Raw genomic sequence first — 27,959 nt, forward strand, 5'->3', positions numbered from 1 at the left:
AGAAACTACCAAAATAGGCCAAGTGTAGCGGCTCATGCCTGTAATCTTAGCACTTTGGGAGTCTGAGGTGGGTGGATTGCTTGAGCTCAGGAATTCAAGACCAACCTGGGCAACATGGTGAAACTCCGTCTCTACAAATACAAAAAATTAGCCAGGCGTGGTGGCACTTGCCTGTGGTCCCAGCCACTCAGGAGGCTGAGGTGGGAGAATGGCTTGAGCCCAGGAGGTCGAGGCTGCAGTGAGCTATGATCACGCCACTGCACTCCAGCCTGGGCAACAGAGCAAGACCCTGTCTCAGAAATAGATAGATAGATAGATAGATAGATAGATAGATAGATAGATAGACAGACCGACCGACCGACAGACAGACAGACATGGGGTCTCACTATGTTGGCTAGGCTGGAATTGAATTCCTGGAATCAAGTGATCATCCTGCCTCAGCCTCCCAAGTAGTTGGGACTACAGGTGTGTACCACTGTGCCTGGCAGGCCCCACATTCTTGTTGTCTCCAGATGTGGACAAAGTTTTTACCTCCCACTTATGATTCTTCCCCATCTCTCTCACAGCAGTCCTGCTCCTCACCTGGGATAACCCACCCCCAGATACTAACCCTGAACTAACATGGCTGAAATCAGTCCAGATCAAATTTCCAGGAGATAAAAAACATTTATTTTAATGCACAACTATAGCATTCATATGCCTCAGCCCAGGGCAGGGGTTGGGAGTTAGGTAAGAAGGGATGCATTTAGTTTGCCCTGTCCCCAAAGAGCGGGTAAATAGCTAAGCCACTCTTCACTCCCAGTACAGACCTTCAGAAGCCCCAGATATCAGGATGTAATGGTAGGGCTCACTGCTCTAAAACAGCTCAAACAACCTGCTCCCAGGAAGGCAAGCCTTCTGCTCCTTGGTCTCCTGCCTACCATTAGGACACAATGTTCTTCGTCTGGCCAGACATCTGTTGAAAGGCTGGATACAGGACAACGTACCCATCTTTCCATCTATATCAACTATCCTAGGTCTCTGATACCCCATTTTGGAGCACTGTTGAAGTCAGTCTCTGGAGGTAGTGCTGACGCAGAGGGGGCAACTGAGAATAGAGCTCAAAGCCCTCTGGGAGCGTGGAATTGGGAAGCTTATAGTGCAGGAGGTGCTGCCGGAGACCCTGCAGAAAGGAAAGAAAACTTATGAAGTGGGTAATGAGATCCTGTTGTGGTCTCTGTCCCCCAAGATCCTCTAATATCCCACCCTCCTAATGGCCCTGACCCTACCTCATCTGCCAGCAGCCATGTTTTCTGCAGCATACTCCTGCGGGCAGCTTTGACCTCATCCTAGAAGCAGAACAGGGAGAGGTGGCACTGAGCCGAGGGCTGGTACCCACCACTGGCCTTGCTTGACACTTACCTCTTCCCCAGCTGGCCCAGAGGCAGCTCAATTGCTAGCTCCCTTCCTTCCTCTGAAGATGGAGATGTAACTTACTGAGCTCTGTGGGTCCTGAGAGAAGATGAAGCTATTGACATGAGCCACAGCCACAGCATAGAGCACGGGGCACCAACGTGGGCGGAGCGCACCAGTAACCAGGGTCCGGAAGTAGAGCTGAAGGAGGGCCAGGTTGTCTTCAGGAGGCACTGTGTAACACTCCAGGGACACAGGCAACTGTGACAGGGGAAATGACGTGCTGAGGGGGAGGGTAGGAATGTATATACATACATAAGGTGTGTGGATAACGATCACATGAAACCAAATCATGAGGGCAGAGATCAGGTCCTAGACAAACATCTGTCCTTCTAGCACAAGGATCAGGGTTAAAGACTACAGAGCAGATGTTGGGGAAAACTGGGAACTGAGAAGCAGCCATTAAAAAGCATGAAATTGGCCATGTGTAGTGGGCCACGCCTGTAATCTCAGCACTTGGGAGGCTGAGGCAGGCGGATCACACGAAATTAGGAATTCAAGACCAGCCTGGCCAACATGGTGAAACCCCATCTCTACCGAAAATACAAAAATTAGCTGGACATGGTGGTGGGTGCTTGTAGTCCCAGCTACTTGGGAGGCTGAAGCAGGGGAGTCGCTTGAACCCAGGGGCGGAGGTTGCAGTGAGCCGAGCGCGCCACTGCACTCCAGCCTGGGCAACAGAGCAAGACTCCGTCTCAAAAAAAAAAAAAAATTAGCCAGGCATGGTGCTGTGTGCCTGTAATCCCAGCTACTCAGGAGGTTGAGGCAGGAGAATCGCTTGAACCTGGGAGCTAGAGGTTGCAGTGAACCAAGATCATCAGGCCACTGCACTCTAGCCTGAGCAACAGAGCGAGACTCTGTCTCAAAAACAAAAACAAAAACCCAAAATCTTAAAAACAAAAAACAAAATACAATAACTTCTTTTTTTAATAGAGTCTCGTTCTATTTCCAAGTCTGGAATGCAGTGGTGTGATCATAGCTCACTGGCAGCCTCAACCTCCTGAGCTCAAGTGATCCTCCTGCCTCAGGCTCCTGAGTAACTGGGTCTACGGGCAAATCACCAGGTCTGGCTAATTTTCCAATAATTTTTTGTAGAGATGGTGTCTAGCTTTCTTGCCCAAGCTGGTCAGAAACTCTTGGCCTCAAGCAATCCTCCCACCTTGGCCTCCCAAAATGTTGGATTACAGGCATGAGCCACCTCACGCAGCCATAACACAGTAACTCTTTTTTATTTTTCTTTTTTGAGATGGAGTTTCACTCTTGTTGCCCAGGCTGGAGTGCAGTGGTATGATCTCGGCTCATGGCAACCTCTGCCTCCTGGGTTCAAGCGATTCTCCTGCCTCAGCCTCCGGAGTAGCTGGGATTACAGGCATGCACCACGACACCCGGCTAATTTTTTGTATTTTTTTTTAGTAGAGACGGTTTCACCATGTTGGCCAGGCTGGTCTCAAACTCTTGACCTCAAATGATCCGCCCACCTCGGCCTCCCAAAGTGCTGGGATTACAGGCATGAGCCACCGCACCTGGCAAACATAGTAACTCTTTACAGCTTATAAATTTAAGTCCTTAGCCTAATATTTGAGGCCCTCTCAGACTTCACTTCTTATTTTTAGCCTTAAGTTCCCAACAGAAATCTCTCCTCCCTCCTTCTGCCCTTTGTCATGCTCCTTTTGCTTATGTTATTCTGTTAGGAATCTCCTGCCTTTCTACCTCCTCACCAATTCAAATTCTACCCAACCTACAGTGCCTGGGTCAATCCCCACTTCTTCCACAAAGCCCAATTTGATCTTTCCCTTCTCTGAATCCTGATACCACCTAGCATCTGAATAATTCACAACTATGTAGGTTTTCAGTAAATCTCTTCTTATCTAGATTGTAGCACTGATAAGCAAGGAGCTATGCCTTATTAATAGTAATGAATACCCACTATATGCCAGACACCAGGTTAAACCCTTTCCTTTTTTCTTTTTTGAGACAGGGTCTTGCTCTGTCACTGGGCTGGGGTGCAGTGGCGCGATCTCGGCTCACTGTAGCCTCCGCTTCCCGGGTTCAAGCGATTCTCCTGCCTCAGCCTCCTGAGTAGCTGGGACTACAGGCACCCGCAACCACGCCCAGCTAAGTTTTGTATTTTTAGTAGAAATGGGGTTTCACTATGTTGCCCAGGCTGGTCTCAAACTCCTGACCTTAAGTGATCCACCCACCTCAGCTTCCCAGAGTGATGGAATTACAGGCGTGAGCCACCACACCCAGCCCATGTTAAGCCCTTTTCATTGATTCTCTTAATCCCCTCAAAGCCCCCAAGAGGTAAGATGAGGAAGCTGAGGTCTTCCAAAGCTCCTCAAGGCTCAGGACTGCCCCCGAGGCCCAGTGCAGGGTACCCTTGCAGGTCCTGCTGGGCTGAGAAAGTACCTGGGTCAGAGGCAGGCTCAGAGCTCGCAAGGCTCCCACGTGTTCCCCAAAGAGGGCAAGGCGCAAGGTGACACTGAACCGACGCTGCAGGGGCAGGAGGACCAGGGCCCCAAAGAGGTGGTCCCCAAAAGAGACAGCCTCAAAATGATCCAGGAAGTTGGCATAGAGGTCAGGGAAAGACGTCAGGCCAGGGAGTCGGCAGTCCAGGTTGAGGTTTGGCAAGACTTGAGGCTGACAGAGCTGGGCGAGGAGGGCTGCCACCAGATGCTGTACTGGGGACTCCCGGAACAGCTCACTGTCCACCAGGAACACACACATGAGCCGTGCCAGGCGGGCAGCAGGGGGCACAGCCCAGAGAGCCTGGGGGCGCCAGCTCTCCAAAACTAGCACCCACTGCAGGACCCGCATGGCTGTGCCCATGGTGTCTGTGGGAGAGAGTCCCGAGGGGGTGTCTGAAGCCCGGTGGTAGAGGCGAATCAGTGGCAGGAAGGGCCAGTCGGTGGGCAGCAGCGGCTCCGTAGGCATGGGCAGTAGCAGGGTTGGGACTCGCTGTAGCTCCCCTCGGTGCAGAGCCTGGGAGGCCAGCAGACTGGCTCGGGCTGGCGAGCAATGAGTCAGGTAGCAGTTGCGGATGCTGGGGAGGTCCTGGCAGGCCTGAGCCAGCAGAGTCCCTTGCCCACACCGAGGGACCCTGCTGCTTCCTAACGACAGCTGGTCAGAGAAGTCGGCTGCCTCTGGACCCCCTGATGTTCTTTCCCTGTAATGGGACCCAAAAGCCAAAAATGAGGGCTGGAACCACAGCACTTGGAGGCTGTGCCAGCTCTTTGGAACTTCCTGGAGGCTCCTAGGTCCAGACCTGTGCCTCTCTGCTCCCTTAACTACTTCCCGCGCAGTGCTGTGTAGCAGTTAAGAGGATGCACACTACAGCCAGCTGCCTAGGCATGAGTTTACATAACTTCTCTGGGCCTCAGTTTCCTCAGAGTAAAATAAGGATAATAATAGTATCTATCTCATGGTCCAAGTAAAATACTTAAAATGTAGATAAATACATAAGGGAGTATCAAACACAGAGTAAACACTCAGTAGCGGATGGCTATTACATGTGTGTAACTGATTTAGATACCATTTTTTTAGCCATGCAGTCACACTGAAGTCTCACAATCATTCTTGGGTGTGGTTAGCCTGATCCTCACTTCACTAATGAGGTAATGGAAGCTCGGAAGAGTTAAGTGTCGTCGGTGGAAGAAAGAGAATTTAGGTCTCCTGGCTCCAAATTCAGGGCTGCTCTGTTAACAACTGCAGCAGCGTCCAAAAGGGCTGAGTTGATGCCACCAACCAAGCACTTACGGGAGGAACTCCAGCCGGAATACACAGCTCAGCAGCAGCTCATGGGTGAGGTACTCACTTCCGGGCAGCAGCCGGCTCAGCAGGGCCAAGGCCATACCATGATAGAGGGCAGCATGGGTGGCTGGCAGTGGCTGCAGCGCTGCCTGCAGACAGAAAAGCAGGGAACTACCTAGTACAGGAGAAGGGGACGTGGCAGAGAGAAGTGAGGAAGAGGATAAAAGTGAGGCTGAAGGGCAGAGGTCCAGGGCATGTCTGGAGGAAAGTGGGAGCTGCATGGCCTGGCAGAAGCAGGCTGGGTTCCACAGAAACAGGAAGGAGATAATGGGATGACAGGAGAACCTGTCAGACAGGGGGACCTACCGCTTTCTGGGCCAGAGCGAGTGCCAGGTACTGCAGGTGGTACTCATGGCGCAGGGCCCATGCAGAGAAAGGTGTGAGGTGTGGGGCAGCCCCAGGAGCCACACACTGGAGGAAGTAATTCTGGAGTCCCGGGGCAGCCAATATGGCAGCCAGCTGAGGAAAAGCAATTTTGTTCAGATCTAGAAATTGACTCTCATGCCTTCTAGGGCTCCCCAGGTGGCTGCCCCTCTCCAGACTCAGGGAAATGAGTGCCAGCAGAAGGCCTCCCTTCCCCATGGGACACCCTCCCACTTTCTTTTTGGTTTTTTTTGAGATGGAGTTTCGCTCTTGTTGCCCAGGCTGCAGTGCAATGGTGTGATCTCAGCTCACCGCAGCCTCCGCCTCCCGGGTTCAAGTGATTCTCCTGCCTCAGCCTCCCGAGTAGCTGGGATTACAGGCATGTGCCATCATGCCTGGCTAATTTTGTATTTTTAGTAGAGATGGGGTTTCTCCATGTTGGCCAGGCTGGTCTCGAACTCCCGACCTCAGGTGATCTGCCCACCTCGGCCTCCCAAACTGCTGGGATTACAGGCGTGAGCCACCGCGCCCATCCCACCCTCCCACTTTCTTTCTGATTCCTGCCATCTTGGCCCCTTGCCTGGCCCCTAATCAGGCACCCCACACTTACCTGGCCACACAGCCCCTTGTGGATCTGGGCCAGGGTATTAAGAAGAGAGAGGAGGGCAGTGAGGAATGGGAAGGGTGAGGCTGAGCCAGCCAGACTGAGACGGGGGCAGCCTCCCGAGCAGCCCAGTGACACGAGGCTGGGGGGAGCTTCAAGGGCTGGCACACAGGACAGCGGGTTGCAGAGAAGGGAGCAGTGCCTGTAGGTGAAGTGGAGAGTCTGAGGGGGACTCTGGCCTGGCGTGTGCCAAGCTGGAAAGAGCTTCTGGGTCTGTACCTAAGACTAACGGGGGGCCTGGCTGTGGAGGTCAGTGCTGCTCACACTCCTCAGAGCCCACCCCACTGCTGCCTGCTAGGGACTCGGGTTTCCCTCGGGCCGAGGGCCTGCACCCTGGGATGGACCTGGGAGCTGGACCCAGGAATCCCACAAGGAAAGAAATTGCCTCCTCCCCTGCTTCCCCCAGCTACCAAACACAGTACATACCTAAGGGAATCCCACAGGCTGCCCAGTGTGGGCTGACTCAGCAGTGGCAGCAGCAGCTCCTCTGACAGGCGCTGCATGTCCTGGAGCCAATCCTCCGGGCATGAGCTTGGCTGGTGGACCAAGGAATTCACTGAGCTGATGGCCCAGCCATTCATTCTCCTAGACCCTGTGTACCCAGGCCAATGCCACCATCCCAACAGCCCAAAAGAGCACATTTGGAGGCTTCTGCAGGCTGAGCCTTCTGAAGGGAGAGAAGGCCCCGATGTGTAGGGGGCATAAAGAGGGAGCACACAGGCTACAGGAAGGCTGAGCTGCTGCGTGGGCTCTCTGGTCCCCACCAACATGGCTCCTGGGAAGCTCCACGGGGATATGGAGGTAGAAAGAGGAGGAAGGGTAGGAATTAAAAGGGAAGATAGTAAATGGGGAAGTAGGAGTGGAGAGATGGACACAGAGAGGGAGCAACGGGTGGAATGTAGCTGAAGGCAGGGTGCGGGGGCCTGGTGGACAGCCGGCAGGAGGCACTCACTTGCTGGCTCCAGGCCTGGTAGTAGGCTCCCAGGAACAACAGGCAGGCAACGGGCACTGGGCCCACGGCTCTCCACATCTCAGGTCTGGACAGCAACTTCAAGGTCTGCCTTAGACACGGCTCAACAAGAGGCTGGAGCCCAGACACCTGTGTCCAAGTGACTAAGGAAGGGGTGGCCGAGAGGCTGGCCTCAGCAGAATCACTACAAAAGTGCCAAAGGGTGCCACAGTGAGGATCTGGCTGCCTCACGCCCCTTTACACTCCAGCCACCCCAGCCCTGTGGAGGAGCCCTCCACCTGTCCTGTGGGTCCTGGCTATAAACTACCTGATGGTTTCAGCAGGGGTACTGCCGGCTGCCAGGGTTAGCTGGGTGAGGAGAGTGAGCAGTGAGGCTATCCGCTGCATGGACAGGGGTTGAGGTGGGTGGGTGCTGAGCTCCCGCGGCACCACCTGCAAGGCCCGCATCAGCACTGGGTAGAGCTCCCTAGGGAAGAACAGGGACTGATTTTCACTGTATGAAAGCAAGTGGAGACATGAGACACAGGTCATGGCCCTGACCCAGGGATCTGCAGTTTGATAAAGGAGGATGAGGAGGAAGAGTGGGGCACTCTTGGAAGGCTCAGCCCTAAAGAATGGAAAGGATGTTGTCCTTCAAGGCTGCCCCCAACAGGGAATTTAAATGTGATTTCACAGATACCAATGCTTTTTTTTTTTTTTTTTTGAGACATTCTCTGTTGCCCAGGCTGGAGTGCAGTGGAGTGATGGAGTGATCTCGGCTCACTGCAACCTCTGCCTCCCAGGTTAAACCGGTTCTCCTGCCTCAGCCTGCCGAGTAGTTGGGATTACAGGTGTGTGCCACCACGCCTGGCTAATTTTTGTATTTTTAATAGAGACGGGGTTTCACCATATTGGCCAGGATGGTCTCGAACTCCTGACTTCGTGATACGCCTACCTTGGCATCCCAAAGTGCTGGGATTACAGGCATGAGCCACAGTGCCCGGCTAATGATTTTGAGCATAGAATACGGTTAAGCCAGGTTTATCCCCCTCTTCCCTGGCTGGGCCTGACTCCTAAGCCTTTTCACATCTGGCAGAAGCCCTCCCACTCATTCTTATCCTTCCTCCAAGCTTGGGACCTTGAGCAAGGCTGAGGTGTTTGATTTGGCCAGAAGAGCAGAACTGAAGGTGTCTAGGGGGAGCCTACCCCCTGCCTCTCCTCACCTGTAAAGGTAACCGCCCTGGCCATAGGAGGCAGCCACAGCCCACAGACGGAGGGCCTCGGTGCTCAGCATCTCAGCTTCCTCTGGGGGCAAGGCCAGTTCTTGGGGAGCCTCAGCTATGATGCGGCACAGGCGGCTCCGGAGATCAAAGCTGCTCAACTGGAAATGGGCACAGTCTGAGGATCAGGGTCAGCTGTGAGTCTCAAGTCCAGCTACTCTCAGCTGGACAGAGAGTGGCTTAACTCAACCCTGACCCAGGCCCCTCTGGTGCCACAAAGTCATACCTCATCCACCCTGCCCTTCCTTCTTATTATTTATTTAAAATTTCAATTTTATTATTTTACTTTTTATTATTTATTATTATTTTGAGATGGAGTCTTGCTCTGTTGCCCTGGCTGGAGTGCAGTGGAGTGATCTTGGCTCACCACAACTTCTGTCTCCCAGGTTCAAGAGACTCTCCTGCCTCAGCCTCCCAAGTAGCTGGGACTACAGGCATGCGCCACCATGCCCGACTAATTTTTGTATTTTTAGTAGAGACGGGGTTTCATTATGTTGGCCAGGCTGGTGTCGAACTGCTGACCTCGTGATTCACCCACCTCGGCCTTCCAAAACGTTGGGATTACAGGTGTGAGCCACCGCACCCAGCCCCTATTATTTTTTTATTTTTATTATTATTATTTTTTTAGATGGAGTCTCGCTCTGTCGCCCAGGCTGGAGTGCAGTGGCGCAATCTCGGCTCACTGCAATCTCTGCCCCTCCAGGTTTAAGCAATTCTCTGCCTCAGCCTCTGGAGTAGCCGGGATTACAGGCGCATGCCACCACGCCTGGCTAATTTTTTGTATTTTTAGTAGAGACAGGGTTTCACCATCTTGGTCAGGCTGGTCTTGAACTCCTGACCTCATGATCCACCTGCCTTGGCCTCCCAAAGTGCTGGGATTACAGGTGTGAGCCACCGCGCCCGGCCCTATTATTTGTTTTTAGATGGAATCTTGCTCTGCCACCCAGGCTGGAATGCAGTGGTGTGATCTTGGCTCACTCCACCCTCCATCTCCCGGGTTCAAGCAATTCTCCTGCCTCAGCCTCCCAAGTAGCTGGGACTACAGGCGCACACTATTATACCTGGCTAATTTTTGTAGTTTTAGTAGAGGTGGGGTTTTGCCATATTGGCCAGGCTGGTCTCGAACTCCTGACCTCAAGTGATCCACCACCTCGGTCTCCCAAAGTGTTGTGATTACAGGCGTGAGCCACTGCACCTGGCCAGTAGTAGTATTTTTGAGACGGGGTCTCGCCCTGTTGCCTAGGCTGTAGTGCAGTGATTGGTGCAACCAGCCCACTGCAGCCTCCACCTCCCAGCTCAAGTGATCCTTCTACCTCAGCCTACCGAGTAGCTGAGACTACAGTCATGTGCTACCACATCTAGCTAATTTTTTGTTTTTGTTTTTTGTAGAGACAGAGTCTTGCTATGTTGTCCAGGCTGGCCCCTGAACTCTTGGCCCCAAGTGATCCTCCTGCCTTGGCCTCCCAAAGTGCTGGGATTACAGGCCTGAGCCACTACACCCAGCCCTCCCTCTTTATAGCAAGGCTTGCTGGGCACCTTCTCTAGGGCTACTTGGCTATAGATGATGAATGCCTATGTGCATGAAGCCCTTCTGATCTGGGTCTAGGGAACAGGGAGACCTCCTATTACATCATGAGACCACAGTATACCTATATGATGCACCAGGCTCCAGTAAACAGGCTCCAGTAAACAGGTTCATGCCTGGTGATTTCTGTTGCATTTCTAAGCAACTGGATCAGAGAGGAAGAAGATGGCAAGAGCTGGCCACCCAGAGTTCAGGAGCCATGTTTAGCTCCCAACCCAACCCTGTCCCATGCATTCCCCCATCCCTTGCCCTGTGTCCTGCTCACCAGCCGGGCAGCAATATTCCTCCCAGCTGAGGCCAGGACACGAAGTAGTTTCATGGCAGTAGCACAGGGTACTTTGTATAGACTAGGGGTAGGCCCTGCCCCCACAGGAGACCAACTGGTGGGCAAGAACTCTCGAACTATAGTCTCTATCAGCCGAGGGCACTCCAGGACCTATGGGAGACAGGAGGTAAAAGGGAGGAAGGGAGGCTGTGGGTCAAGACAAGGCCCAGCTAGGCTTTTTGCCCATTCCCTGCTCCCTTTTTTCTCACCCTTGTGGCTGATTCCAGGGAATGCCGGGCCAGGCGGATGAGCACAGCCAGGATGTCAAGGACCACCGCAGGTCCTGGGTATGTCACCTCCAGCACGTAGCGCAGCCGAGGCAGCAGGCTGGTAGCCAGGAGCCCCTGGGAGTTGGAGAGAGAAACCCACTGACAAATGCAGCTGGACCCTGGGCATTGATGGCCCCTCTTTCCAGCATGTGCTTGTCCCCTGGGCCATGGGATGGGAAAGAAGCTGTCCCTTTACCTTGATGACATCATGTCGGGCCAGGTCAGGTGGAGGCCGGCTTTCTTCTTCAGGGCTTTTCCTTTTTGCTTTTCCTGCTGGGCATTCTTCATCCTCGTCCTCATCCTCCTTGTCCTCCTGGCTGGGCATCAGAGGGAACGTCAAAGCTCCATGGTACCAAGAGAAGGTGCTGTCGAGGAGCTCCTGCCAGAGGAACGGGAGTTGGGGGGCAATGCTGAAGGGGCCAGGAAATGGATCCAGGAGTAGAGAGGATGCTCCCCAATAAAAACCATAAAGGCAAGCCTCCTGGGCTTTAGGGACTTTAGGAGATGAGGGAGACGCCTGCCATCCCATTCTACATCTTGCCCGCAAAGCCTTAGCAATGGGGCCATGCCCAGGAACAGGAATATGGACCCTGGCACCTCCCAGCCCAAGCCCCATTCCTATCCCTGTGGTACCTCATCTCCAGGAGCCACCAGCAGAGCCCGAAGAGCACGGATGGCGGTTGCAATGACCCCATCCACTCTGTCATCCAAGGAGAAGCGCAGTAGGAAGAGGAAACCAGCATCCAAAAGGAGGCTTAAGACACTGCCTGCTAGCCGGTCCCCAAACTCACCAGCCTGGGCCTGAGGGCAGGAGGGTAAAACCTTGCTGAAGATGCTGAAGTTATCTAGAGGCTTTGCCCTAATCCTTCGTTTGCCCCCCTATGATCCTAGGTTGTTAAAAGCACATAGCTGGCTAGTGAGCCAGAGTGAAAAGGGCAGGAGATGGGGAAGTCTGAGGCTGTGGGGTGAAGGGAAGGGTGGGCAGGACCAGGCTGGCAATCCACTCACCCTGCTGATGACCTGGGCTAACACATGCAGTGCCAGTGCTCTCTGCTGGGAAACCTGGCTGCGGGTCAGGTGGAACAGCTCCTGTAGGGAATACCCCGCTCTCTGGGGCAGGGACAAGAAGTCAGAAGCAGCCAGGATACAGCACAGTGCCCCCAAAACACCAAGCAAGGTATCACAGGAAAGACAAAGATAAATAAGTGAAATCTGCCCTGCTTTCCATGGAGCCTCAAGCCGGTAAAGATAAGACTTGCATACAAGTAACCATGCCATGAGGCAGATGCAGAGGAACGTGATAACTGATGTTTAATTTGCGACCGGCGGACAGGAGAGAGAGAGAAGGGAACCTGGAAAATTAAATTGGTCTCAGTGGATGGGTAGAGCTTTGATGGCCTGACATGGAGCAAAAGGCAAAGGCATTTCCTGGAGCGAGTGGAGTCCTGGAGGGCCCTGAGCACAGGAGGTATGTGGGGAGAAGCCAGCAGAGTGGTGTAGCAGGAAGTGAAGGAGGCAGAGCAGCAGGGTCAGCAGGGACAAAAGGTAGAAGGAATATCTTGCCCAGCTGAGACCAGAACCTTATTTTGTGAGCAGAGGGAAGCTGGGAAACTTCTGGAGGCAAGGCATGGCCTGAGCTGGGCCAGAAGAAATCAGCACAGCAGCCCCGAGAGACATGGAATGGCAGGGGGGCGGAGAATGGAGGGCATGGAGAGTGAGCAGACCAAGGAAGCAAGGCCACAGTGCAGGAGGCATCATGAGGAGGTGACAGAAGATCGGCAAATTCTAGCAACTGACCAGAATACGGAGAGAGGATCAAGATTTTGAGCCTAAGAAACTGAATGCCACGCCTGTAATCCCAGCACTTTGGGAGGCCGAGGCAGGCGGATCACAAGCTCAGGAGATCAAGACCATCCTGGCTAACATGGTGAAACCCCGTCTCTACTAAAAATACAAAAATTAGCTGGACGTGGTGGCATGCGCCTGTAATCCCAGCTAGTCAGGAGGCTGAGGCAGGAGAATGGCTTGAACCCAGGAGGTGGAGGCTGCAGTGAGCCAAGATCATACCACTGCACTCCAGCCTGGGCCAGAGCGAGATTCTGTCTCCAAAAAAAGAAACTGAATGCACAGCAAAGGCATGAACTAGAACAGGGCACACAGAAGGTCAAAGGCAGTTGACCAGAGATCCTTTTCCATGGGGTTGTTAAAAGAGCTGCCCCATCCTCTCCAGTCCCATGCCTCACCTCTGCCTCCTCTCCATGGTGGTGCAGACCCAGGTGGGTGGGCAGGTCCACGTCAGGGGCCAGTAGTTCTCCCTGAAGACTGAATCGAGCCTGCATCCTCTAATGGGAAGAGAAAGAGGACTGTGGTCTGGGGGCTCCAGCAACCTTCCCACACCCACTCCCCACCTTTAATCCCAGGCCTTTCAGGACTTAGGTACTGACTCTACTTCTACCAGAAATGGGGCTTATCTGGCCTTGGGGGCCAGGCAGAGTGATGGTAAAGGTGGGTGAGAGCAAAGGAGAGATGCTTCTCAGGCTCTGGGCAATAGAAAGGCCTGAGTTCTGAGGGCAAGAGCAGCAGCTCCTCTCCTGCCCTATCTCACCCACCCCTTGTAGGCCAGGTGGCCCTCCTCACCTCCTGTGTCTGCTGCCGCCGGACAGGGGGCAAGTCCTGGGTCCAGTGGAGCTTCTCCAGCTCGACAGTGTCCATGTGCAGCCATTCTTTCTGAGGGGTCACGGGCAATGCCAGAGCTGGGGAGACAAAGCATGATAGTATTACCCAAACGGCTCAGCTCACTATCCACAGGGGTCCCCACCATCACCCAGCAGCTGCCACATCCACTTCTGTTCCAGGATCTGCCAGCTTCTACCCTCGGTTATGGCTAAATGGCATGGCCCAGGGACTGGAACTCCTGGGGCTGGGGTGAAAGTCTCAAATATGACAGACACACTCCATCCTGGGCTCCAGCCCCTTGCTGACCCCAAGGATTTGTTGGGAGGGGAGAGAGGAGGAGAAGGAGAAGGAAGAAAGAGAAAGAAAGGAGAAAAAGATGAAGAAGGAGGACCACATATGTCAGGAAGGCACCATCTCCACTTTCCAGTACCAGCCCTTAAAGGAGTAGGAGAGTGGGGACAATGAGGAGGAGGCAACTATACTGCTCCTGGGGGGCAGGATACAGAAACAAATCCCACAGCATTTTCCTCCTTCACGCCTACCCCCACCCAACCTGCTCAGCTGGCCTGGAGCTCCTCCGGGGGCATGAGGTTCCTGGCTCTCATAATTCAATTTCTTATTTTGTTAATCACTAATGAAATAATCTAGTTTCTGGGAAATGAGTGCTTCCACTGGCCTCTCTGCTTCTGGTCTGGCATGTTCATAAGATCTTTGTCAGATTCTGCCTCTCTTATTACTCTGGCCCTGCCATCTTTCCCCCAGCACTGTGAGCAGAGAGAGAAAGAACAGTGGGATGGACAGAGCCAGAGCTGGGGCAGCTACAGCAAGGACAGGAAGATAGTCTGCCGGGAGCGGGTGGAGTGGGATTCAGCCATCACGCATTGCTGCCTCTTAAAAGGGAAGGCGGAGAAGGGGCAGTAACAGGACAAGAAAACAGGAAGCATGTGCAGGAAGAAGACATGCATCAGCAATGAAGACTGACTTGAAGCCAATAATGAGGATTAATGTTAGATGTCCAAAAGCACAGAAGCTTCTCTCTTCTCTCATTTGCCAGGCCTAGGAAAAGGGACAATTTCCCCTACTTTTATCCACCAAAATATGACCCCCGCCTCCTGCAAACCTGGGGCTTCTGGCTCCAGCTTGTCTCTCTTCCTGGGCTCACTGGCAAAAGCTGACATGAGGGGTTCCTCCTTGGTGACATTAGCAGAGGGTCCTCCTGGCCTCTGCTCCTCAGAGGCTGTCTCTCCTGTTTGCTCTTGCGTGTGGCTGTGAGATCTCAAGAAAGCAACCAAGCTGGGGTCTAGAGGCGAAGGTAGAGGGGAGAGTGAGTGAGGGTAGATCCTCCCTGGCCTCCTACAGACCTGGAACCCGCTGAATATCGCCTGTCTGTGGGTGCCAAGGACAGGACAAGCTGCTTCCGAGCCTGGGCCTGAGCCTTCTGGGTGCTCCTGTGGCCCATCAATGACCCAGCCTTCTCACACCTGTGGGGTCACTAGGCCCACCTGCCCACCTGCCCACCTTTCCCTCTATCCCTCACAGTCCACTGGCCCAGGTTCCTATGCCTATCCCTTTGGTTTCAGGTCACAGTTCCAATGTAAGTGGCTGTAGAATGAATAAGTTAATGTTGACTAGGGCCAAAAAGAAGGCATTTACAGAAAGAATTTCCTTCTCTTAGCTAATTTATTTATGCACACACACATATATATATATATATATATATATATATTTTTTTTTTTTTTTTTTTTTTTTTTTTTTTGAGACGGAATCTCGCTGTGTCGCCCGGGCTGGAGTGCAGTGGTGCAATCTCAACTTACTGCAACCTCCATCTCCCAGGTTCAAGGGATTCTCCTGCCTCAGCCTCCTGAGTAGCTGGGATTAAAAGTGCCTGCCACCACGCCTGGCTAATTTTTGTATTTTTACTAGAGACGGGGTTTTACCATGTTGCTCAGGCTGTAAATATATATTTTTAAAGAGATAGGGTCTTGCTCTGTTACCCATGCTGGAGTGCAGTGGCACAATCGTAGCTCACCACAGCCTCAAACTCCTGGGCTCAAGCAATCCTCCCGCCTCAGCCTCCCAAGTAACTGGGACTACCGGCATGCACCACCATATCTGGCTAATTTTTTTTTTTTTTTTTGAGACAGAGTCTCACTCTGTCGCCCAGGCTGGAGTGCCATGGCACGATCTCGGCTCACTGCAAGGTCCGCCTCCCGGGTTCAAGTGATTTTCTTGCCTCAGCCTCCCGAGTAGCTGGGACTACAGGCGTGTGCCACCACGCCCAGCTAATTTTTGTATTTTTAGTAGAGACAGGGTTTCACCGTGTTGGCCAGGATGGTCTCAATGTCTTGATCTTGTGATCCGCCCACCTCAGCCTCCCAAAGTGCTGGGATTACAGGCGTGAGCCTCCACACCTGGCTGTAATTTTTTATATCTTTATTTTTTGTAGAGATGGGGTCTCATGATGTTCCTCAAGCTGGTCGTAAACTCTTGGCCTCAAGCAATCCTCTCACCTCAACCTCCCAAAGTGCTGGAATTACAGGGCAAGGCACCATACTGAGCCCTAACACGTATTATACTCTATAGAGGTGCTAGTATACAGTGGGTAACAAGATTGACTGAGTGCCTGGCATTTTGGTGAACAGACACTAGGGGTGAGGCATAGCATAGAACAGTATCACAGAGTAGAAGAGACTATACATATACTAGAGTATAGCTATAATAAAGCATAGTGTATACTATACCAGGGTAGTACAGTTATACATAGCACAGTGGTTAAAAAGTAGGGCCTCGGCTGGGCACGGTGACCATCTCAAAAAAAAAATCGCAGCACTTCAGCAGGCCGAGGCAGATGGGTCGCTGGAGGTCAGGAGTTCAAGACCAGCCTGGCCAACATGGTGAAACCCATCTCTACTAAAAATACAAAAAAATTAGCTGGGTGTGGTGGTGCACATCTGTAATCCCAGCTACTCAGGAGGCTGAGGCAGGAAAATCGCTTGAACTAGGGAGGTACAGGTTGCAGTGAGCTGAGATCGTGTCACTGTACTCCACCCAGGACAACAGAGCGAGACTCCGTCTCAAAAAAAAAAAAAAAAAAAAAAAAAGCAGGGCATATGAGACCAGGTAGATCTGGGTTTAAATCCTGTGTCCTGTGCTTCTTATAAGGTGTGTGACCTGGGTAGAATTTCTTTTAAATTTTAGGCCTCAGTTTCTTTCATAAGTAAAATAGGGTTAATACCACCTACCTCACAGGACAAGTTTAAGGACAGAACTGAATAATGCATTAAAGGTCAGGCACGGTGGCTCATGCCTGTAATCCCAGCACTTTGGGAGGCTGAGGTCGGTGGATCACTTGATGCCAGGAGTTCGAAACTAGCCTGGCCAACATGGTGAGACCCCATCTCTACTGAAAATAAAAAAAATTAGCCAAGCATGGTGGTACACACCTCTAATTCCAGCTGCTGAAAAGGCTGAGGCACAAGAATCACTTGAACCTGGGAGGCAGAGGTTGCAGTGAGCCGAGATCGTGCCATTCCACTCCAGCCTGGGTGACAGAGGGAGACTCTGAAAACAAAAAACAAAAAACAAAAACCAACCTGTGCAATATAGTGAGACCTCATCTCTACAAAAACCTTAAAAGAAATTCGCTGGGGGCCAGGCACGGTGGCTCACACCTGTAATCCCAGCACTTTGGGAGGCACTTTGATCCACCTGAGGTCAAGAGTTCGAAACCAGCCTGGCCAATACAGGGAAACCCCGTCTCTACTAAAAATACAAAAAATAAAAAAATTAGCCAGGCATGGTGGCAGGCGCCTGTAATCCCAGCTACTTTGGAGGCTGAGACAGGAGAATTGCTTGAACCTGGGAGGCAGAGGTTGCAGTGAGCAGAGATTGCGCCATTGCACTCCAGCCTGGGCAACAAGAGGAAAAATCCGTCTTAAAAAAAAAAAAAAACCTAGGCGCAGTGGCTCCAGCACTTTGGGAGGCCAAGGCCAGTGGATCACCTGAGGTCAGGAGTTCGACACCAGCCTGGCCAACATGGTGAAACTCCGTCTCTACTAAAAATACAAAAATTAGTTGGGTATGGTGGTGGGCACCTGTAATCCCAGATACTCAGGAGGCTGAGGCAGGAGAATCATTTGAACCCAGGAGGCGGAGGTTGCAGTGAGCCTACGTCGCGCCATTGCACTCTAACCTGGGCAACAAGACCGAAACTCCATCTCAAAAAAAAAAAAAGGCCGGGCATGGTGGCTCATGCTTGTAATCCTAGCACTTTGGGAGGCCGAGGAGGGCAGATCACCTGAGGTTGGGAGTTCGAGACCAGCCTGACCAACATGGAGAAACCCTACCTCTACTAAAAATAAAAAAATTAGCTGGGCGTGGTGGCAGATGCGTGTAATTCCAGCTACTCGAGAGACTGAGGTAGGAGAATCTCTTGAACCCGGGAGGCGGAGGTTGTGGTGAGCCGAGATTGTGCTATTGCATTCCAGCCTAGGCAACAAGAGTGAAACTCTGTCCCCCCAAAAAAAAAAAAAAATTAGCTGAGTGTGGTGGTGTGTGCCTATAATCCCAGCTACACAGGAGGCTGAAGTGGGAGGATTGCTTGAGCCGTGAAGGTGGAGGTTGCAGTGAGCCGAGATCGTGCCACTGCATTCCAGCCTGGGTGACAGAGCAAGACCATCTCAAAAAAAAAAAAAAAAAAAAAAAAAGCATTAAAGTACTCAGCACAGTGCCCGGAACTCACAGTAAGCCTAGCTCAATAAGTGGTATTCCTCTCCTAGCCTGGTCTCAGCAGGAAAGCCAGGCACCCATACCAAGCTGGGCCAGCAACCGCTGCTGTTCCTGCAGGATCTCCTCAGGAGCCATGGCCTGCAGTCTTGCTATGTTCTCTTCATGGATAGTCTGGGCTTCCTGCTCAGCTTCTTGATCCCTGAGCCCCTTCCCTGTGACCAGATTGGGTCCCTGAAAGCTGTGGCTGCTCCCAGGAAGCTGGCAGCCCTGGTTCCTAGGAGTGGGTGTCTCACAGGTCACGGCACCTGGAAGAAAGGTATGATCACATTCATTGCTCTGTCCTCCAGGGCTCTAACTGGGCTTTTTGGCCTTCTTCTATAAGGCTATTAGCCCTGGAGACAGGTATAGACCCAAACTTTCCTCAGAGTGGAGACCCCACTGGGTCTGGCACAGGGACTCCAGGTGGCTTCTCCACTCACTGCTTCCCTAGTACTTATATGAAAAGGTTTTCCTCAGAAACATCCTAATTTCTGACTCCTCTTAGATATCTAGGCAGGCATCTATAGCCAGGGGCCTGCTCCCAGCTGTTAAGCTAATAATTTGCATCATTAAAGGGATCTTGGCCAACACATTTATTTTACAGTCTCTGCCAGACACTTCTGCCCTATTCCCTTTCTCTTAGGACTGCATAATGGCCTGCCCCACTCCCAGCACCTGAGACCCAGATATGGACCCAAGCCTCCCATACCTAGTATTCTCAGACTACTTGAGATGGCTCAAATGCACCTCTCATTTGAGGCAGGAAGACATATCTTCAAAAATGACCCTATGATTGTGTCTTTTAAAAAGGCCAAGCCCAATCCTCTTCAACCCCGGCTCACCCTCTGGTGGGCCCACGTTGGGCACAACTTCCCCAACTGATGGGCCCTTGGCTTCAGCTATCCTCCTTGCCGCAATTTCCTGGGCAAAGATGCTTCTCTTACCAGATGTTGCTGATTTCCCCTGTGGGGCAAAAAGAAAACCCAGGTTACTGATGCTCATCATCCCACTTTCCTCTCAACCTCTTTATATCAAGGCCTCTGGAACAAAGAGATAAAAGGGGATTTGCTCAATTTCCAGGGATCACAACCCTAGTTCTCAGAAAAAGGAGAGGTCTATAAGAGTAAAGGTCTTAGACTCTGACAGACTTGGGTTGAAGTTCTGGCTCTTCTACCTATTAGATGTGTGGTGTTGGACAAGTTATTTATCTCTTTGGGGTCTCAGTTTCCTCATATGAAAAATGGGAATAAGGACTCCTCATCCCCAAGGTATCATCATGATACCTGCCTTATATGTTTGTTATGAAGATTAAAAGAAGTAATGGGTATGAAGTGCTTAGTATGATCCTGCTTTGTAAATTAAATTGCTTATCATCATTAAAACTACCTGCCTGGAGAAGATGCACTATGAGACTCACCTGTCTGTCTCCTGAGCACCACCTAAGCTTACCCTTGCCTACCTGTGTGTCCCGCGAGCGAAGGAACACAGCAGGGAAAGCAACACCACTGGGCACAGGCAGATTCACGGCCACTGAACTTGTATCTCGTTCCTGTAGCAACAAAGCACAAAGTTGTGAAGCACAATGGAGAAACTTCCCCAGGCTGGACCCGATCCTATTAGCCCAGTTCTGAACGATGAGAACCTCACTCTGGGGGGTTACGGACCCTCCTCCCTTCAGGGCAGTGATTCTAACCCAGCCCCCAACCTGACCTCAGGGGTAAAAGTCTACCTTTCTGAAGCACCCTCCACTGATAAGCCTCACCCACCCCGAGCATCCAATATCCCTGTTGCCCTAGAACATCTTATCCTACTCAGCCAGAGTGAGACGCACAATAATCTTAGTCAAGACAGCAGTGATGTGCTGATCATGCCTCCTCAGCCTCTCTTCTGGGTCCTCATCCTCAGGCAGGCAGTGGCCAGGGCTGGGCCTGGCTCTCTTTGGAGGAGAAGGGACCAAAGCTGGGGGCAAATCTGGGAGATCTGAGAAAGAAAAGATCCCAAACGTGAGTATATGCACACCTTCCTAGGAAGACACTGCAGGCTAGGGAAGAAAGACAGCTGCCATGGGGCCCTGGCTCAAGCTGTGTCATCTTGGGTAAGATATTTAACCTCTTTGAGCCTCATTTTCTTCCTCTGTAAAATGGGGCTGCAGAAACACAGGCTATGCAGTGTCTGAAATAATAATGATGTGTCTGAATCCAACCACAACAGGAAGAGGGAGGGGCCCGAGGCTGTACCCTCTCTACTTCTCAGCCTCACATCCATGGGAACTCACTGTCCAACATCACCACATCCCGATGGTCCTGGAGCGGAGGCCGGTCTGAGTTGGCATCACCACCGCCCCTATTTCCTTTCTTCACCAACTGCACTGCTGGGGCTGCACCAGCTGCGAGAAACTGACTCTGGAAGTGCAGCAGGTCCACCTCGGACTCCCCTGGCTTCGGTCTCGACAGCATCTTGCTGCTCCAGCTGCCTCCCCAGTACGACTCTCTCCAGCAGTGTCTCCGTGTGGGGGTTCCCTCTTATTCATCCCTAAGAGCAAGAAAGAATATGGGCCCTCTGCAACTGAACCCTGATTCTCTTTATTGGGCAACAGCGAAGATCTTCTTTATCCTTGGGTTAACATGAACTCATTCCTCCTCATTCATACCTTACTGCCATTCCCTCTGTCTTCAGCCCTCCCTGATGTCATCAGCCTAGCAACAATATTTATAGCCAACTTAGGTTGTTTACAATCTATAGGTGATAAAACTCTCAGGAACAACCAGCAGGAGACCTGAGGAAAATGTCATCAGGGGCCGAGCAGATAAATGTTGTCATAATGGGGGGGTGATGATTCTGTATCAAACTGGAGAGAACATGCTTGGCCTAAAGGTATGTAAATTATTAAAAACCTTGGGCTGTAAAATATCAATATAAAAAACATTTGTGGCCAGGCGCAGTGGCTCACGCCCGTAATCCCAGCATTTTGTAAGGCCGAGGAGGGTGGGTCACCTGAGGCCAGGAGTTCAAGACCAGCCTGGCCAACATGGTGAAACCCCATCTCTACTAAAAATACAAAAAATTAGCTGGGCATTGTGGTGGGCGCCTGTAATCCCAGCTACCTGGGAGGCTGAGACAGGAGAATCGCTTGAACCTGGGAGATGGAGGTTGCTGTGAGCCGAGATTGCACCATTGCACTCCAGCCTGGGCAACAAGAGTAAAACTCCGTCTCAAAAAAAAAAAAAAAAATTGTATGTCTATGCACTAGCAAAGAACATGCAGAAAATGGAATTAAGAAAACAATTGCATTGGCCGGATGCGGTGGCTCACGCCTGTAATCCCAGCACTTTGGGAGGCCAAGGCGTGTGGATTATGAGGTCAGGAGATCAAGACCATCCTGGTTAACACGGTGAAACCCCGTCTCTACTAAAAATATAAAAAACTAGCCGGGCGTGGTGGCGGGCACCTGTATTCCCAGCTACTCGGGAGGCTGAGGCAGGAGAATGGCGTGAACCCGGGAGGCGGAGCTTGCAGTGATCTGAGATGGAGCCACTGCACTCCAGCTTGGGCGACAGAGTGAGACTCTGTCAAAAAAACAAAACAAAACAAAACAAAAAACAGACAGGATCTCACTCTGTCACCTAGGTTGGAGTGCAGTCTGCTATCATAGCTTACTACAGCCTCAAACTCCTGGGCTTGGGTGATCCTCCCACTTGACACAGAAAGTTAATTTAATTGCCCCAAATCCACAGTAAATGTCAGAAACAGAATCTCAAGTTAGGCACTCAAGCTGCAGAATGTATGCACTTCTCTGTCTGCTCAACCTTGACAATGATAAGTGATCAGAGGCTTAGAGGATAAAAAAGGAAAGAAAAAACAAAAAAAATCAACAAACAGGTCAGCAATCAAATGTTTTGTATCATGATAAAATATGCATATTTCTATTTTTCTCTATATACTGTAAATTTATGTACTTTTTAAACTTGTGATTTGTTATAATGTTAGATTTACAGATTTATATAGATAGTATGAACAGTTTCCATATGTAGTCTTCACCCAGTTTCTCCAAAGGTTAAGACTTTACGTAACCATGGCACAAAGGCAAAAAAGAAATTAACATAGAGACCTTACATTTATTTGTCAACAAAAAGGAATGAAGTTCCAATGCACAAACATTGAAAACATTATACTAAGTGAAAGAAGCTATATGACTCAGAAACATTTTATTTAGTGAAAAGAAAGAAAGAAGCTAGCCAAAAAGGACCTCATATTGTATGATTCTGTTCATATGGAATGTCCAAAATAGGCAAATCCATAGAGACAGAAAGTAGATTAGTAGTTGCCAGGGGCTAGGAGAGCTGGAGGGAAATGGGAATTGACAGCTAATGGGTATGGAGCGTCTTTTTGGAGTAATGAAAATGTTCAACCTTGTGAATATACTAAAAGCCATGAATTGTAAACTTTATTAATTTATTGTGACAGAGTCTGGCTCTGTCACCCAGGCTGGAGTGCAGTAGCGTGATCTTGGCTCACTGCAACCTCTACCTCCTGGGCTTAAGCCGTCCTCCCACCTCAGTCTCCCAAAAAGCTAGGACTACAGATGCACCACCACACTCAGCTAATTTTTGTTTTTTTTTTTGTTTTTTGTTTTTTGTTTTTTGAGACGGAGTTTTGCTCTTGTTGCCCAGGCTGGCGTGCAATGGCGCGATCTCGGCTCACTGCAACCTCTGACTCCTAGGTTCAAGTGATTCTCCTGCCTCAGCCTCCTGAGTAGCTGGGATTACAGGCGCCCACCACCATGCCTGGCTAATTTTTTGTAGTTTTTCAGTAGAGACAGGGTTTCACCATGTTGGTCAGGCTGATCTCGAACTCCTGACCTCATGATCCACCTGCCTTGGCCTCCCAAAGTGCTGGGATTACAGGCGTGAGCCACCGTGCCCCACAATTTTTGTGTTTTTTACAGAGACAGGATTTCACCATGTTGTACAGGCTGGTCTCGATCTCCTGGGCTCAAGAAATCTGCCCACCTTGGGCTCCCAAAGTACTGGGATTACAGGCCTGAGCTACTGCACCTGGCCTGTAAACTTTTAAAATGATGAATTCTGGCCAGGCTCGGTGGCTCACATCAGTAATCCCAGCACTTTGGGAGGCTGAGACAGGTGGCTCACGAGGTCAGGAGTTCAAACCAGCCTGACCAACATGGTGAAGTCTCTACTAAAAATACAAAAAAAATTAGCCGGGTGTGGTGGCAGGTGCCTGTAATCCTAGCTACTCAGGAGGCTGAGGCAGAAGAATCACTTGAACCTGGGAGGCGGAGGCTGCAGTGAGCCAAGATCGTACCACTGCACTCCAGCCTGGGCGACAGAGTGAGACTCCGTCTCAAAAAAATAATAATAATAAAATAAAATGATGACTTCTGTGGTATATAAACTATAAATCAATTATAAAACAAAAAACGCTGGGCTGGCCAAAGATATCTGCAAGCTGGCTGGCTAGTTTTGGAACCCCTGAGCTAGATGCTGATAATAATAAAAATATTGTTATATCTAACACTTATTGAGCACTTAGTATGCACCACATACTGTTCTCTAAGCACTTTTTCCATATTCATTCATTTAATCCTCATAACAGCCTAGGAGGTAGGTTACTACTATTTTTTTTTTTTTTGAGATGGAGTTTCACTCTTGTTGCCCAGGCTGGAGTGCAATGGCACGATCTCGGCTCACTGCAACCTCCGCCTCCCAGGTTCAAGCGATTCTCCTGCCTCAGTCTCCCTAGTAGCTGGGATTATAGGCATGTGCCACCACGCCCAGCTAATTTTGTATTTTTAGTAGAGACTGGGTTTCTCCATGTTGGTCAGGCTGGTCTCGAACTCCCGACCTCAGGTGATCTGCCCGCCTCTGCCTCCCAAAGTGCTGGGATTACAGGCGTGAGCCACTGCAACGGGCCAGTTACTACTATTATTCAAATTTTACAGCTGAGAAAAGAATAGTGCTGAGAAGTTAAGTATTTGCTCAAGGTCTCAGTGTAAGTGTGTGCTAGGATTAGGATTCAATCCCAGTCAGTCCATGCTCTTACCCACTATGTTCTACTGCCTACTGCTGTGTGGTGCCTGGGTGTCCTGGAAGTCTGGAATAGTGAGGCAGATGGGGAAGAACTATAAAGAATCTCCTGAAGAGCAAAGGCTGCAACTACACTAAGGTTTCTCAATAGGGACTATTGATCTTTATAGCTGGGTAATTCTTTGCTGTGGGAAGCTGTCCTGCGCACTGTAGGATGTTTAGCGGCATTCCTGGCTTTTACCCACTAGACGTCATCATCAAACCTCCTCCCCTAGTTGTGACAAGTAAAAATGTCTGCAGACATTGCCAAATGTCACCTCAGAAAAAAATCACCCCCAGTTGAAAACCACTGAACCAGACCTTGAAGGATAAGATAGGCCTCCAGCCAGAAGGGAGAGCTGGGCAAAGGTATAGAAGCAGGGAATAGGGCCGGGCGCAGTGGCTCACACCTGTAATCCCAGCACTTTGAGGCTGAGGTGGGTGGATCATCTGAGGTCAGGAGTTCAAGACCAGCTTGGCCAACATGGTGAAACCCCATCTCTACTAAAAATACAAAAAAATTAGGCAGGCGTGGTGGCATGTGCCTGTACTCCCAGCTACTTGGGAGGCTGAGGCAGGAGAACGGTTTGAACCCAGGAGGTGGAGGTTGCAGTGAGCCAAGATTACACCACTGCCCTCCAGCTTGGGTGACAGAGCTAGACTCCATCTTGAAAAAAAAAAAAAAAAAAGCAGGGAATAAATATGGTACATGGGAGAACATGATGAAGTTGACCACCTCCTAAAAGTTGAAGGAGGATGAGATGGAGAGGTAGACAAGCTAGATAGCTGGAACTAACAATAGTGCTGAATGAAGGCCGGGTGTGCTGGCTCACGCCTGTAATCCCAGCACTTTGGGAGGCCAAGGCAGGCAGATCACGAGGTCAGAAGATCGAGACCATCCTGGCTAACACGGTGAAATGCCGTCTCTACTAAAAATACAAAAAATTAGCTGGGTGTGGTAGCACGCGCCTGTAGTCCCAGCTACTGGGGAGGCTGAGGCAGGAGAATGGCGTGAACCCGGGAAGTGGAGGTTGCAATGAGCCAAGATCGTGCCACTGCACTCCAGCCTGGGGGACAGAGCATGAGACTCTGTCTCAAAAAAAAAGTGCTGAATGACACATTTCCTTACTTTTTCTTCATCTACTTCTAAGCAGGATCAGATCTAATAACTAAGCCAGCCTTGGAAACACCTCCCAACACAGGGGTTGGGGGCAGGCTAAAGGGGTAGAAATGGTGAAACAATCACATGACGGTGTGACCTTAAGAACATTATCAAAAAATTTTTTGAGAGTTTACTCTGGGCTGAGCGGTGTACAAGGGGCTGTAAATATAAAGAAATGGGAGTAAAATCCAGTCCCTGGGTTCAAGGGGCTTACTGGGGAGACAGAGACCATGCCGAAATGCTGGGTCTTTTAATAATTTCCCACTTCATTATCTCTCTTTGCCCACACAAGTCTAGAAATTCCAAAGGTTTACAGTTTAAATGATGTCTCCAAGATTGTAAAGGTCTTCCTTTGGTCAATGATGTACCCAAAGTTGGGGTGAGAGAATATGGTAAACACACATATAAATTTACAAGGCAGTACATCCCAGTGATGAAATTAATTGCATAGAAGATCAGTGCTACACGATTTCAGAGGTGGGAAAAATCCCTAAAGGTTAAAAATAGAGGTCAATATTGAAAGAGAAAACTTAGATAAGTAGAGAACTGAAGGAAGTGGATGAAGTGAGCAAAGACCTGTCTACAAAATTTCATCTTAAATTTGGCATAGAACTTGTATTAATTACTATTTGTAGCATGACAACAGCGAAGTATACAGATGTGCCTTTTCCTGGATGGGAGGTAAACAGTATGAAAATGGACTGCCTGTGTTCAAATCCAGGCTCTGCCATTTACTAACTGTGTAAGCTTAAGCAAGGTATTTTACTGAAGTTACTGTGCTTGTTTCCTCATCTGTAACATGAAGATAACTGTACCTACCTCCTGAATTAATTATATATATGTAAGAAGATTAGAACAGAGTCTCATACATGAAAGGACACAAACGCCAGTTATGATTCTTATTATTTATATAGCCAAAGGGCAGATAACCATATCTAATTGTTGGGCAGTCTGACCAACAAACAAGGAAAAAGTCTCCTACCCCAATGCCTACCCAAAGGCCCTAAGGAAGGCTGAACTAGATGAACTGAGAATCCATAGTATGGTAACAATTCACTCCTATAAGAGTCTACATAAGCAGAAACAATTCCTACTTATCCATGGATTCATGTGATCCAAAAGCAAAGTCCAGCTCACTTCATAGGGTGCGCCATACCTACATCACAAAGAGAGCCAGGGGGTTATGGGCACCAGTTTTGGAATCAATAGGCCAGAAGTCAAATACCAGTTCCGCTACTTACTAAATGCACTAAATGTGCGAAATTAGGCAAATTATCAATGCTGTCCTTTTTTTTTTTTTTTTTTTTTTTTTGAGACAGATTCTCCCTCTTGTTGCCCAGGCTGGAGTGCAATAGCACGATCTCGGCACACTGCAACCTCCGCCTCCTGGGTTCAAGTGATTCTCCTGCCTCAGGCTCCCGAGTAGCTGGGATTACAGGCGCCTGCCACCACGCCCGGCTAATTTTTTGTATTTTTTTAGTACAGACGGGGTTTCACCATGTTGGCCAGACTGGTCTCGAACTCCTGATCTCAGGTGACCCGCCCGCCTCGGCCTCCCAAAGTGCTGGGATTACAGGCGTGAGCCACCGTGCGCGGCCTCTATGCTGTCTTAAGTCCCATTTCCACAACTGTAAAATGTGAGTAACAGGTCCTATATAATAGGAAATGTGTGAGGATTTAAATGACTATACACGCAAAACGCCTAGCCCAGTGCCTGTTACTTATATAAATAAACCTCAGTAACAATTATTTTAGTCCTAAGTAAAGCCACCAGTGTGTTTCCCCACAAATCCAGCGCAGATTTGTCCAGAACCAATCAGTGCTAGAAGTGATAACATTTTCAGTTATTAATAGAATAAGAATGGGTTGGCCGGGCGCGGTGGCTCACGCCTGTAATCCTAAAGAGTAATGCCTAAAGAGTAACTCGTAAAAAAAAGTAGTCCTAACAATGGACCTCTGGGTTTATGTTGGCCTCTGAGGAGTCTCTGGGGCTCTTACATTGCAGCCTATCCTCCAGAGCCAGGATCCAATCCCGAGTCGGGACGCGTGACTGCCCTTACCGCTCAGGTCAAGGGCTCCAGTTAAGCCTCCTGGACCACCCAACTCTACAATGAGGAATCATCGAGTCGCAGCTTTCGCCGCCCGTTGAAGGGCCGTGCCCGAGATCTATGCACAGAGGAGGCCACAGTTGCTCCCTTACAGACCAAAGGCCCGCAGGCAGGTTCCAGCAAAGAAACTGGACACGCTACCCTGGGTCCTCCTCCCAGATCACCTGAAATCCGTCCCTCCAGCCCCGCCACCTACGTGCTCCAGGCCTGTCTGGGCGCCGCCATCTTGCCCCGCAGAGATCGCGTTTCCGCCGCCGCCAGATTCCAGCTTCCGCCCCGCAGCCCAGCCCCGCCTCTCCCGGTCTTATCTCGGAGCATTCTGGGCTTTGCTTGTTCAGTGCAGCGGACTGGTGAGCGCGGTGCTGCGCGGCTGGCGGTTTATTACCCCCACGTAAGCTCTATACCATCACCCAGAACACACATCCTTTTTTTTTTTTTTTTTTTTTGAGACAGAGTCTTGCTCTGT

General features: G+C 50.5%; 1 protein-coding gene across 4 annotated transcripts, besides 4 other annotated features; it reads right to left on the reverse strand.

The window, feature by feature from the left end:
- Window positions 1–646: 646 nt before the first annotated feature.
- RPAP1 (RNA polymerase II associated protein 1) lies at window positions 647–27,728 on the reverse strand. 4 transcript variants are annotated; one of them, NM_015540.4, is made up of 25 exons: window positions 27,690–27,728; window positions 20,416–20,672; window positions 19,972–20,120; window positions 19,600–19,689; window positions 18,983–19,103; window positions 18,185–18,406; window positions 14,494–14,673; window positions 13,335–13,450; window positions 12,941–13,039; window positions 11,706–11,807; window positions 11,331–11,498; window positions 10,894–11,076; window positions 10,638–10,772; window positions 10,369–10,539; window positions 8,462–8,619; window positions 7,567–7,725; window positions 7,242–7,443; window positions 6,716–6,825; window positions 6,236–6,431; window positions 5,569–5,721; window positions 5,209–5,351; window positions 3,862–4,618; window positions 1,477–1,653; window positions 1,269–1,328; window positions 647–1,162 (listed from the first exon to the last, which is right to left on the reverse strand). In NM_015540.4, the coding sequence occupies exons 2-25, from the start codon at window positions 20,594–20,596 to the stop codon at window positions 1,013–1,015; spliced, it is 4,182 nt and encodes a 1,393-aa protein (NP_056355.2). In that variant the 5' UTR covers window positions 20,597–20,672; window positions 27,690–27,728; the 3' UTR covers window positions 647–1,012. The 4 variants fall into 4 exon arrangements, with proteins under 4 accessions (NP_056355.2, XP_005254354.1, XP_047288330.1 ...); XM_005254297.2 differs by having other exon boundaries at window positions 27,384–27,728; XM_047432374.1 differs by lacking the exon at window positions 14,494–14,673.
- Window positions 26,288–26,488: a silencer, noted in NCBI's record as "peak2307 fragment used in MPRA reporter construct". NCBI's record gives its function as "represses an SCP1 promoter by STARR-seq MPRAs in K562 erythroleukemia cells {active_cell/tissue: K562}" and the evidence as "EXISTENCE:reporter gene assay evidence [ECO:0000049][PMID:32103011]".
- Window positions 26,968–27,549: an enhancer, noted in NCBI's record as "H3K27ac-H3K4me1 hESC enhancer chr15:41835695-41836276 (GRCh37/hg19 assembly coordinates)". NCBI's record gives its function as "activates a minimal SCP1, AML or CMV promoter by ChIP-STARR-seq in naive H9 embryonic stem cells {active_cell/tissue: H9 hESC(naive)}" and the evidence as "EXISTENCE:reporter gene assay evidence [ECO:0000049][PMID:30033119]".
- Window positions 26,968–27,872: a biological region, named in NCBI's record as "H3K27ac-H3K4me1 hESC enhancer GRCh37_chr15:41835695-41836276".
- Window positions 27,483–27,872: an enhancer, noted in NCBI's record as "active region_9284". NCBI's record gives its function as "activates an Ori minimal core promoter by ATAC-STARR-seq in GM12878 lymphoblastoid cells {active_cell/tissue: GM12878}" and the evidence as "EXISTENCE:reporter gene assay evidence [ECO:0000049][PMID:35858748]".

This window comes from Homo sapiens, chromosome 15, assembly GCF_000001405.40.
Source record: "Homo sapiens chromosome 15, GRCh38.p14 Primary Assembly".
Classification (NCBI taxonomy): domain Eukaryota; kingdom Metazoa; phylum Chordata; class Mammalia; order Primates; family Hominidae; genus Homo; species Homo sapiens.